General features: G+C 42.7%; 1 protein-coding gene and 1 pseudogene across 14 annotated transcripts in view, besides 4 other annotated features; both read right to left on the bottom strand.

Moving 5' to 3' along the window:
• The window catches only part of JARID2 (jumonji and AT-rich interaction domain containing 2), a 275,974-nt gene that overhangs the window by 203,479 nt on the left and 60,172 nt on the right, over positions 1-12,323 (bottom strand). For 6 of the 14 annotated variants that reach the window (XM_011514579.4, XM_017010833.3, XM_047418735.1 and 3 more), the window contains exon 2: positions 6,836-6,925. The exons of the other annotated variants lie outside the window; for them this stretch is intronic. In XM_011514579.4, coding sequence (XP_011512881.1) covers positions 6,836-6,925 — 90 coding nt within the window. The remainder of the gene's footprint in view (positions 1-6,835; positions 6,926-12,323) is intronic. 14 annotated transcript variants of the gene reach the window in all.
• Positions 667-756: an enhancer, noted in NCBI's record as "active region_24073". NCBI's record gives its function as "activates an Ori minimal core promoter by ATAC-STARR-seq in GM12878 lymphoblastoid cells {active_cell/tissue: GM12878}" and the evidence as "EXISTENCE:reporter gene assay evidence [ECO:0000049][PMID:35858748]".
• Positions 3,538-3,644, bottom strand: RNU6-522P (RNA, U6 small nuclear 522, pseudogene; annotated as a pseudogene).
• Positions 5,968-6,037: an enhancer, noted in NCBI's record as "active region_24072". NCBI's record gives its function as "activates an Ori minimal core promoter by ATAC-STARR-seq in GM12878 lymphoblastoid cells {active_cell/tissue: GM12878}" and the evidence as "EXISTENCE:reporter gene assay evidence [ECO:0000049][PMID:35858748]".
• Positions 9,452-9,746: a silencer, noted in NCBI's record as "tiled region #4383; HepG2 Repressive non-DNase unmatched - State 19:H4K20". NCBI's record gives its function as "represses a minimal TATA promoter and a strong SV40 promoter by Sharpr-MPRA in HepG2 cells {active_cell/tissue: HepG2}" and the evidence as "EXISTENCE:reporter gene assay evidence [ECO:0000049][PMID:27701403]".
• Positions 10,583-10,642: a silencer, noted in NCBI's record as "silent region_16950". NCBI's record gives its function as "represses an Ori minimal core promoter by ATAC-STARR-seq in GM12878 lymphoblastoid cells {active_cell/tissue: GM12878}" and the evidence as "EXISTENCE:reporter gene assay evidence [ECO:0000049][PMID:35858748]".

Here is a 12,323-nt window from a genome sequence, read left to right as displayed (position 1 = left end):
TCACTCACAGCAACTGCACAGTTGTGGGGCTGCAAAGGCAGCTTTTCTCCAGGTGGTAGCAACCACCACCACCACCAAAGCATAAACAAAAAACAACAAAAACCTGGAAGTTCTTGCTGGACATGGAAACTATTCTAGGTATACGAAAACAAAGATCTGCCTGTTTCATGTAGACAACTATGTGCCTCATCCCCCTGCACCTCACTGCTGTCTCCCTGTCCTTCTCCAATTGCCTACATCTAACATGCTGGCTGGATCCACGTGTCCTCCAGCTGGGCCTTGGAGTTCAGCTTTCTCTTTGAAGTTTAAATACAAATGGAGAAGTCCTATTTGTTTAATCTTTTTTTTTTTGGAAACGGAGTTTTGCTCTTGTAACCCAGGCTGCAGTGCAGTGGCAGGGTTCTCGATTCACTGTAACCTCCGCCTCCAGGTTTCAAGTGATTCTCCTGCCTCAGCCTCCCCAGTAGCTGGGACTACAGGCATGCGCCACCATGCTTTAATCACTCTTATTCTCACAGCTGATATATTCACTAATCTGGAGCAAACTCAAAACCTAGCAACTTCAGTGAACCCAGGCAAACAGACTAGCCTCTACCTCACTGTCCATCCTCACCTCATCTGCTGGAACTTGCAGGCACTGCTGGCCAGCAACAAACACAGGAGAAGAGGGGACGCCTAAATACACCAGTTTTGTGGGAGCGGGTCTGGTATTAAAGAAACAAACCCTGGAGGGATCGGCTCTCCACGCGCCAGCTGTGTGCAACGCCACCCAAGGGTGCATCCACCCTGAAGATGAAGGGTGTGGAGCTAAAACAAACACCCACGCAGCCATGGCATTTTCTGAGATTCAAAATTCTCAACAAGAGAAACTCCAACTAAAACTCAAAAAAGATACTTCAGAACCAGCACCTCCGAGACGCAAGAGGGTACCTTCTGGCAGTGGACTATGGACCCATCAGTTACACGGCAAGCATTCAGGTACCTTTGGGGAAAACTCACCTTTACGGATGAAGTTCAACCTCACTTTCAGTTCAAGAGGCAAGACTCCAGGTCTACTGAAGTAAAAGGTAAAAATTTCCTAGGGAGTTTTGGGGGAAATTACTCTTACCACAATGTCGGTTGAACACCCCAGATTTCAAACAAAACTGTATTTCTACCTGCAAACCTATGCATCACCTTTAAATGACTCTCAGTTACACAAAACCATAACCATAACCACCTCAGGAAATCAAACTATTATCCTAAATGAGACTTGCATTTTCCTGCAAAACAGAAAAAACTGACATGTTAATATTGTCTGTTGTGTTTCAGATCGATTATTTTTCAACTGGTCCTCAGAGCTATTTCTTACCCCTTTCTCAAGGGGATTTCACAGAGGGACAGGAAGAAATTATTTCTGATGAAAAAAAATTCTACTGCTAAATAGATAAAATCAAATTAAGTACATGCAACAAAGTACCATTGCTAATTATAAATAACTGATGGGACAAGAAGCACAAAATCACAACCCATTATACTCAAGACTGTCTACAAAAGATTCATTCTAGACCAAAAGTACACTCATTGAAACCCCACAGCAACTCTATAACAAAGGTACTATTATCCCCATTTTACACAAGCAACTTGAAGCACAGGCTGGCTAAATGACTTGCCCAAGGTCATTCCATAGAGAGCTGAGATTCAAACCCAGGGTGTCTGGCTGTAGCCATCCTATTAACCAAATCATACTGCTTTCAAAGCTGTGTTAAAAACAATAGCAGTGGGCCAGGTGCACTGGCTCTTGCCTGTAATCCCAGCACTCAGGAGGCAAAGGCAGGAGGATCATCTGAGGTCAGGGGTTCAAGACCAGCCTGGCCAACATGGTGAAACCCCGTCTCTACTAAAAATATAAAAATTAGCTGGGCATGGTGGTGGGTGCCTGTAATCCCAGCAATCTGGGAGGCAGAGGTTGCAGTGAGCTGAGATCAAACCAATGCACTCCTGCCTGGGCGACAGAGAGAGACTCCATCTCAAAAAAAATAGCAAGAACAGTCCAAAATTTCTTTACTTCTAACCAGCACAAGCATAAGGACTACTGTCCTCAGCCACAAACCTCACAATGATTAAAGACATAATCTTCATTATGAAACACTCCTAACTGGCCACCTCTGTAGGGTAGCAACTGAATCTGAGACAGAAGCATAGAATCTGGCCGGGTATGGTGGCTCATGTCCGTAACGCCAACACTTTGGGTGGCCGAGGTGGACAGACCACTTGAGTTCAGGAGTTCAAAAACCCTGTCTCTACTAAAAATACGTGTGCCTGTAGTCCCAGCTACTAGGGAGGCTGAGGCAGGAGAATCGCTTGAACCCGGAAGGCAGACAGAGGTTGCAGTGAGCAGAGATCGTGCCACTGCACTCCAGCCTTGGCAAGAGTGAGACTCCATGTCAAAAAAAACCCATAGAATCTGTATTTCACACATGTTTTCAAGCCAGCAGACCCCACTTCAGTGGTACTTTTCGTATTAGTTGAGAAAATACTGAAGATAACATTCACGGGATGAAAAAAAAAAGGAAGCAGGACTCGTGTAAACTGTGTTCTTTCTAATCTTGGTTCCAGCTTATGCCCTCAGTCACTTTAAATCAATCTGAAGACAAAGAATTTGGAAGTCATCACTTACTTCTTCCATAAATTTGGGAGCCCTGAGAAACTCATGTCTGAAATCACTAATGAACGTACTCAACGTATGGACGGCACACTGGGCCCAGTTAGCACACACTACAGGACTTGCTTGCTTCATTAACGCACTTTCCCAGTTCTGCTAACAATTTTAACAGAACTTGAAACAGAACTTGAAAAAACAGAATTGGGCGAAACACCACTCATTTATTTTGGTAACTTCCGGACAACCACAACTTCTAGGGATTTGCAGCCTAAAAGCCACCTGAAGCAGATGAAGATATCTCACTTTTTTGACCGTATCTCATCTCAATTATTCAGGTAGTCCAGTCACACTCTAGATACGTGACTACTTCTAAATATGTAAGTTTTCTGTGTTAAAATGGCAGACTGAGCACTTGACCCTATGGTGTACTGACTGCACTATGATTCCCACAGTAAAGATCAAAGCTATATGAGAGAGACTGCAGTTCTCCAAGACAAAGCAACGGGTCAAATAAATCTTGGAAAGCCAGCTGGTATAGATGGGCATCAACCTTCGTAATTAATCCATCATGGGTTCAAACAGCATTCTAAAGGGACATCTCTCATCCTCCCTAGTCCTGTAGATTGTCTACTACCTGGCATCTGAAGGAAGTTGTTTGCAATAAAAACATGTCTAAACTCTTCTTTCTGGCAGAATCAATTCACTTATACACATGGAGAATTTTTGGACAAGCACGTTGCTCTTCCGTTTCCTTTTGTTCTTCATTAATATACGTATTATTTAGTATGTAAAAATTATTTCTAAGGCAAAATACTATTCAAAACATATTGGTAAGGATGAAATATTCTTCAATTTTAGAAACTGCATAATCCAAACCTGATTTTCCAATACATAAAAATATGGAATGCTTCACAAATTTCTGTGTCATACTTGCATACAGGCCATGCTAATCTTCTCTGTATCATTCCAATTTTAGTATATGTGCTGCTGAAAGGATCACTCTTCTGTATCTTCTGAAAGGCTTTTCTATAACGGCAACCCCAACTAAACACATCAGGCTAAGTATGTGCGTATTTTTTGGTTTTACTGAAGCAGTCGGGAAACCAACAGTAATAAAGGCAATTTATAATATTTCACTAATTATTGCTGCCCATTCATTTCACAGTCCCCAAACCTTCCCTAACCTACAGTGTCTACCTCTGGCATCTATGTACCATGGATTGTCTGTGACACTGTTCCAAGGCAAGTTTCCTCCCTCCTCTCACTGAAGAGGCCTCAACTGTATCTCCAGGGTTCTGTCCGCTTCTATACACAAGCACCAAACTGATTAAACTATGTCTAATGTATGATTTATAACTAGCTCTCAATGTCATTTATTAAAACTAAGCCCTGCCTATAAGAACTCTAACACCACAAATCATAATTTGAATGACAGCAACTTTCAAAATGCCGTTTACTTATTATTCATTATTTTAACAAATACTTAAGTACCACATGCCAGGCACTGTTCCAGGTGCTTGGGGTAAATTTATAAGCAAGAAGATTCACCTCAAGAACAAAAAGAGTCTTGCTCTTCATTTTTTTTAAATTATTGTATTACTTTATATTCTAGCAGAGAAAGCCAAAACCACATAAATAACAAAGTATTTGAAGTAGTGGCAAATGTTATAAATAAATGGGTAATTTGACAGAATCACAGCAGGAGACCACAGGAGTGGGGGAAACAGGAGCCACAGCAACCTGCAGAGTGGATCAAGATTAATTTGAATACAGCCTCTGCCATCCACTAACTGAGCTTAACCTTAAGCCCGTCCCTTTGACCTTATCTATGAACAGCATCACTGTTCATGGCTACCCAGAATTGGAAGGACTCAACATCAGGACACCTTGGGCCTTGGGTCCAGATGCAGTATCCTCTCCCCAAATGAAGAGATAAAAACAAAAGCAGCACCTCCATGAGGGCTTCTAGACAGCCATGGGCCAGCAGAAGGTATAAGGATATTTGGGGAGACACAGGCCAAAGGTAATTACCAATGTCTACTCTCCTAGGCCCAAGGCAGGGATCATCTGCCCCTAGGAGAAGAGGTTTAGATGACAAATGTATTTAAGATCTGAAAGAAATCTCCCCAAGTAAGAAGAAATTCATTTTCTAATAATTGGTGCTTAAAATGCAGTTAACTCCACAGGTTTCTATACATCAGCCAGAGAGTGTTTCCACCAAGACTTCCTGTTCTTTTCCAGATTTGCAAGTCAAAACACTAATGCCACAAGAAACATACACCATTTCTGAATCTGTACGGCACACTGCAAATTCCACAGTGCTCTCAAGGACAGCATGCTGCCGCGGCACCAACAGCCTGCGTAGATGTGAACAGCAACCCTGGCTCGGCTCAGTGTTGGCAGCAGACTTCCCAGAAAAGCTGGCACTCTTCAAAATGGGAAGTCACCAGTGAAGAGGCACAAATGCAAGACCCTGTCTGTACTGCTTGTGCAGTACCTCCTAGGGCTTGGGGAGCTGGGATATGTAGTGACTATGAACCCAGGCTACCCTACCCCAACCTCCAAACACTGGTTCTCAGCCACAGCGCTTTCTTCATACAACTAAAAATGAGATGTTACAGTGTACATACTCAGGCACACACAGACAATAGAATGGGACTTTCTCATCCATGAAAACTGAGATTTTTCCTGTTTCCTTGGGGTGCCATGGCTCCTTGCTATTCTAAGTCAACATATTCTCCCTAACCATCAAAAGGAGATCAGGAAGCAGAGGACAGGTGTAATGTAAAAAAAGCTCCGACGGCAATCCATTAACAGCACTGAATTCTTTTCCAAGAAGATTGTTTAAAAACAAGCAACATAAACGGAAAACTCCCACAGATTTTATGGAAGGCACTATTCTGAAACTGGAGGCTGCAGCTCGGTTTGCGGGAAAGATGCTGAACGCCAGTGTTTTCGTCGGAACAACAAGGCTTGGGTCAGTCAGTATATTTGCTTGTTTTGTCCCCTAGTGGGGTGGTGAGGGGTAAAGGTAAGGGCAGAATCTGGCTGGATCATCTCTCAGTTACTAGGTTCTTTCAGTGTGTGTGAAAGATAAGGTTGCTTTAATGCCCACTTGAGAAAAAGACTACAGGGAATCACGAAAGGACCAGGCCAGGCTTACAGGGAAAAAAAGAAACACAGACAATGAGTGAGTCACAGGAAGAACACAGAAAGACAGAAAGAGAGGAGACTACTGAACCATAACAGGAAGGAACAAACCATACACACAGCCTGGATGAATCTCAAAGCAAAGTGAAGGGATGTAGACACAAAAGTGCTTCCATCTATATGGCATTTACAACAGGCAAAGCTAATCTACAGTGCAAGAAGGCAGGTCGGCGCTGGCATGGGGGCACAGGACAGGAGCACAAGGGAGCTTTCTCGGGTGACAGGAGGTGCATATATTGATGGGATGGTAATACCCAGATGTGTGCAGTTGTCATAAGTTATCACAGTGTACACCTGAAATGGCTGCATGTATAAATTTTACTTCAATAAGATTGGTTTTTTAAAAATCCAAACTGAGGCCGGGCATGGTGGCTCACGCCTGTAACCCCAGCACTTTGGGAGGCCGAGGCGGGTGGATCACGAGGTCAGGAGTTCGAGCCCAGCCTGGCCAAGACAGTGAAACCCTGTCTCTACTAAAAATACAAAAATTAGCCAGGCGTGGTGGCAAACGCCTGTAATCCCAGCTAATTGGGAGGCTGAGGAAGGGAACTGCTTGAACCTGGGAGGTGAAGGCTGCAGTGAGCCAAGATCGCACCACTGCACTCCAGCCTGGGTGACAGGGCAAGACTCCGTCTCAAAATCAAAACTGACTTAGAAAGCTTTTGTTTTTGTTTTTTAAATCTAGAACAGTAGGGGTGCATATGTAGAATGAGCTATGACAATTTTTTAGGTTAAATTGATTTCTCTAGAAAGTAGCCATCCAAATTAAATAAAAGTTAATGCCAAAAGCCACACCTCTGGCAATACAATCCAGGGACCTGGTCCAAATGTGGAAAATTCCCCCCAGTTTCACGTAGTTAAAAGTGACTTATTAAAGAATATTTTACAATACAAACTCCCTTTTGGGGCTTAGGGTATTAAGAGGAAAAAAATTTTTTAAGGAAAATATTACAAGAAAAAAGAAAAAAAAAAAACAGTTACCTTTTTTGCAAGCCGAATCAGAGTGCCATCTGTGGCTTGTGTTAAGGACTTTGCTTTTGTATTGTGCAGAAAGGCAGATCGAATATTTACCTGTGGGAGAGAAAAGGCTTGCTCACAAGTCTTCAGACTTTTTCTTTTTCTTTCTTTCTTGAGACGGAGTTTCGCTCTTGTTGCCCAGGCTGGAGTACAATGGCGCGATCTCGGCTCACCGCAAACTCCGCCTCCCAGGTTCAAGCGATTCTCCTGCCTCAGCCTTCCCATGTAGCTGGGATTACAGGCATGCGCCACCATGCCTGGCTAATTTTGTATTTTTAGTAGAGATGGGGTTTCTCCATGTTGGTCAGGCTAGTCTCGAACTCCCAACCACAGGTAATCAGCCCGCCTTGGCCTCCCAAAGTTTTGGGATTACAGGCATGAGCCACCGTGCCCAGCCTCTTCAGACTTTTTCTAATGTAAAAGTGTACCAGAGAGACTCACCATGCCCAAGACTGGTACAAGGTGGTGTGAGGCTGGTGATGGGCACTGCTAGGGGTTACTGGATTAGGAGCAAGGGTGATATGAATCCTCTAAGATCCCAACTCCTACTGTCACAAGCCCCATTGATACGCCACGCGGAAGGGTCTCTGAGACCAACAGCTTATTAGAGAATTATTATAGCAACTATCTCACTGCCAACGTGCCATGTTAGCCCTGGAACTAAAATACCCGCATCCCAAAGGATGTGAAGTCCTCATATTCACTCTATGACGGTTCCCATTCCCACACAGGGACTGGGCAGGCAGCCGTGAGAAGACAACTCAGGGTGAACAGGGCACCAAAAATTAGAATGAATTCCCAGAGTTGGAATCAGCCACCTCCAGCCCACAAACCAAAGTCAGCTCGGTTTCTGGCACGAAATTATTTACAAGTCATCCTGGCAGGAGTCACATCCAAGATTTATTTTAAGACTATAATCTTGGTCTAAATCTCAACTTCCAGAACTGGGCCACCAAAGAGCCAAGCGGGGATGGGAATTCTGGAGATTGAAATCCCATCTCCTGGAAGATCTCAGAACACTTAGGCCCATCCCATCTCTGCACCTGCAGATGCTTATGTAGAAGGGCATCCCCTTCCCTCCAGAACTACCCAGCAAGAAATCCAGAGGGGAGCATGACCCAGAAACAGGGGAGAAGAGGGGAGGCCAAGGCATTCACAGCCTAGCTTGTGCCATCTTAAGAATCCCTACAGCAGAATTCAGGGCCATCCTTGTTTAATTCAGCTCGCATTTTCCTATGTAAATCACTATTTCTGTTATGGTTGGAGTAATGTGGGAGAGGGTGATGTATTAATGCTATCTACAAAGGGTAGGTTCAACAGACCAGTTCCACTGTGACTAGTCATTTGTAAAGAATATTGATTTTCTTAATTTCATTCCACAAAGAGGCTATGGCAGGAAGTATCATTTTTTCTACTGTTTTTCTTCTGCAGGGTTTTGATAAAAACTAATATTCATGTATTTTTACATAAATCACATGCTTGTTTTGCTCTAACCAGTAGCAGGAGGCAAAGGCATTTGTGCGGCACCTCTGGAAATTAAATTACCTATCTGGAATTCATCTGTTTCACCAGAGACACCCAGCCCCAGCCCATCCAGCCAACCTGGGAAAGCCTCCCTGGCCTTAATCTCATTAAGAGTCCAAAATCCACAGCCTTAAAGCAACAAAGCAATCTGTTTTCCTGCTGCTTCCTTGACTTTCTTCTTTGGAAGAAGAAGCTTTCTAGGTACCATTTTTTTTGTTTATTACAGAGTAATACACGTTTCCTGGAGAAAATATAGATAAGCCTTATCTCCTGAGCATCCATCCCTCTTCCTAAACTCTTCCAAGCCACTTCTCACCTCTGGGCTTTCCACTTTCACTTTGGAACACACTACTGGCCAATCCCATCTTCACCTGGCTAATCCCTGTCCTTCAAGCCTTCTGTCATCCCTCAGTGTGGATTAGTTGCCCCTCCCACCTGTGCCTACACCACCACTTCATTTGTCAAAGCATACATATATATATATACACACACACACACACGTTTATATATGTATGCTTTATATATTATATGTATACATATATTTACTAAATTTTCCAAGATAAGACAAAAAAATTAAACTGTAAATACTGTTTTCTCACTTGCTTTTTTCACTTATTTTATGTCAGTCAACATTCTTGCTACCATTTCATTTTAATGACTGCACGGAACAGACGTTCCATAATTTAACCAATCCCCTATTGGTTTCCATTTTTCACTGGGATACACAGTAAAATACTTACTACACATCCTTGTGGCCAAATTCCTAGAAGCAGGGTGGCTGAGTGAAATGGATGCAAAATATCACACTACTTATAATGTATACTAGATGCTTAAAACATGGAATGTCGATTTTTAAAGACACTAACACAGTCTCCACATAGAGAATAATGAGGCACCTGAAACCTTCATAAAAGAAATAACTGAGGGAACACAGGATTTTTAAGCCCAAAGATGATGAACAATGAGTCTGTTGGATGAGAAATAATGTTTAGTTCCTTCCGAGGTCAAAAATGGAACACAATGAAAGAAATGAAAGAGGTACTCTGTCAGCTAAATTCAAGAGAATGGAATTTTCCCAGAGATATCCAACATCAATCTTGCAGCTACTTAAACTATTCAGGCTGAGACAGGAAGTAATCCTGACAGGGGAAAGATATTGGGCCAGCTTCACAGGAAGGGCAGTCAGTCAACCAAAAAGGTCACTCATGTTCAACTACTACGATTTCCACCCTGCAGGGGACTTCCCCACTGCACTCTTTCAAATTAAACTTGAGAAAAGCCATGATTAAATTTTCCTATATTAGCCTAACTATTATCCAAGCACACAGCCTATTTACTGTTGACAAAATATAAGAAAACCAATTTCACCAGTAAGCAAAAGTCATGGTGGATCAAACTGCAGATTCCATTAGTGACCACGTGTTTTTACAATTCCTGTCTTTTCAAAGTAGGGAGAGTCTGGCTTATCCTCACATCTTTTGGCTCTCACAGTAACAAATACATAATAAGATAATAAGAGCAGATGAGGCTAATGACCACATTTGCTGTAATTACCTAATCTCGTTGTTTTTAAGGAAGGAAGGTATTCAGTAGATCAACCGTCACTATTTAACCACAGGGGAGAAAACAGGACTCTCTCTTTCTGGATTTCTATCAATGTTTATATGCAAGATTTTAAAGGGAAGTAAGGGAATGAAGAAAGCATTACATTTAGGCTTCTGTGAAAAGCCATTATCCTTAGAGAGGCTGAGTTGAGGGAAATGACAAACAGCACAAACATCCAGTTCTTGGTGACAATAAATGAGGCTCCAGATCCAGATGGCCTTTGAATCTGGCCCCTCTGGCTTCTATTTCCACACAGAATCACTTTCAAATCGCCCACCTTCTAAAAGTTCATTTATAAACCTGCAGTTTAAAACCTAGAATGCACTCCATCATAGAAATGATATTTAACATGGCACTTGTTCCAAACCAGCACAAAGGAATTAAACAAAATTCACTAGTATAATAATGAGAAAACAGGTAAAGGATTAAGGAAGAGGACTAGAAGCTGCTAAGGGGTGAGGGTATTCCCTGCACCCTTTCAGAAAACCAGAAAAATTTAAGGAGGAAGAACCGTTACCAACCATTCTGTGCATCAAGATTAGAATGGAAACTCGAAAGTTTTGAGCAGAACAAAACCATGTCAGGGTCTATAGCTTATCAAGTGCTTGTTTTAGTTGACACCTGACTGGCTCCTGAGAAAATCATTAAGTTTTAAGCTACGCTGGCTGGGAGTCTGTATTTCTTGGACCGATGAATTATGCATGAGAATGAACTCTGCAAATTAGATGAAACTAGGCTCTGCTATCCTAGCAAATTTGGGCAATGAACATATTTCTCATGAGCTCCTAGTAATAAATCTTAAATTAAACTAATCACATAAGTAAAGGGAGAACCTAGTAGCTGAAGTACAGAAACATACAAAATTTCTCCCCACAGACTACAAAGTTTTCAATAGAGGTAAGTCATCAGAGAAGAAAAATACCAAAAATGAGGCAGCTAAATCACATTTTCTGGTGGGGGAGAAGAACCACAACCCCATCCCGAAAACAAAGATCCAAGGAATTTTAAAGTTTGAATGTAAACATTAATTGCAATGTACTAAAAACAAAACAAAACTGGGATCACGCCTGTAATCCCAGAACTTTGGGAGTCACAGGCAGGAAGATCACCTGATGTCGTCTGAGACCAGCCTGGGCAACATGGCAAAACCCCATCTCTACTAAAAATACAAAACTTAGCCGAAAATGGTGCCGTATGCCTGTGATCCCAGCTCCTAGGGAGGCTGAGGCAGGAGAATCACCTGAATCCGGGGGTGCAGAGGCTGCAGTGAGCGCCACTGCACTCCAGTCTGGGCAACAGGAAAAAATGTTTTCTTCTTCTTTGAGACACAGTCTCACTCTGTAGCCCAGACTGGAGTGCAGTGGAACTGTCTCGGCTCACTGCAACCTCCACCTCCGGGGTTCAGGCGATTCTCCCGCCTCAGCCTCCTGAGTAGCTGGGACTACAGGCGCCTGCCACCACGCCCAGCTCATTTTTTGTGTACCTTTAGTAGAGACAGGTTTCACTGTGTTGGCCAGGTTGGTTTCAAACTCCTAACCTTGTGATCCGCCTACCTCGGCCTCCCAAAGTGCTGGGATTACAGGCATGAGCCACCACGCCCAGTCTAAATTTTTTAATGTTAAAAATATATATATAATATACATTAATATAATTGATTATATATAATAATGTAATTAATATAAAATATATATATTAACTTCAAAGTACAATGGGTAAGGTCAGGAAAAAAAATAAGCTGCCTATTTCCCCACCTTCCATTTTCCTTCACTCCACTTGCCCCTTGTGTTTTACTCCTAGGTTTTAACAAAAGTCAAAAAAAATTTTTAAGTACCTAAAAATTAAGTTTAAGGAAGATGGTATTTTTCCCCTTTCCCCAGAATGTGGACTAAATAAACAGTATGATCCTTATGAAATGTGACTGTGTTGGGCCAGGCACGGTGACTCACGCCTGTAATCCCAGTACTTTGGGAGGCCGAGGCGGGCGGATCACCTGAGGTCAGGAGTTCAAGACCATCCTGGCCAACATGGTGAGACCCTGTCTCTACTAACTAAAAATACAAAAATTAGCTGGGCGTGTGGCAGGCGTTTGTAATCCCAGCTACTCGGGAGGCTGAGGCAGGAGAATCGCTTGAACCCAGGAGGCAGAGGTTGCAGTGAGCTGAGATTGTGCCATTGCACTCCACCCTGGGCAACAAGAGCAAAACTCCGTCTCAAAAAAAAAAAAAAAAAAAAAAAGAAATATGACTATGTTGTTAATGAGAAAAGAGGCTGGCTGGCTCACTGCAGGGGGAAGGAATTCTTGAGTTTTTGTTGTTCCTACTGC

This window comes from Homo sapiens, chromosome 6, assembly GCF_000001405.40.
Source record: "Homo sapiens chromosome 6, GRCh38.p14 Primary Assembly".
Taxonomy (NCBI): Eukaryota; Metazoa; Chordata; class Mammalia; order Primates; family Hominidae; genus Homo; species Homo sapiens.
The sequence above is the reverse complement of the archived record's forward strand: the minus strand, read 5'-3'. Positions and strand labels throughout refer to the sequence as shown.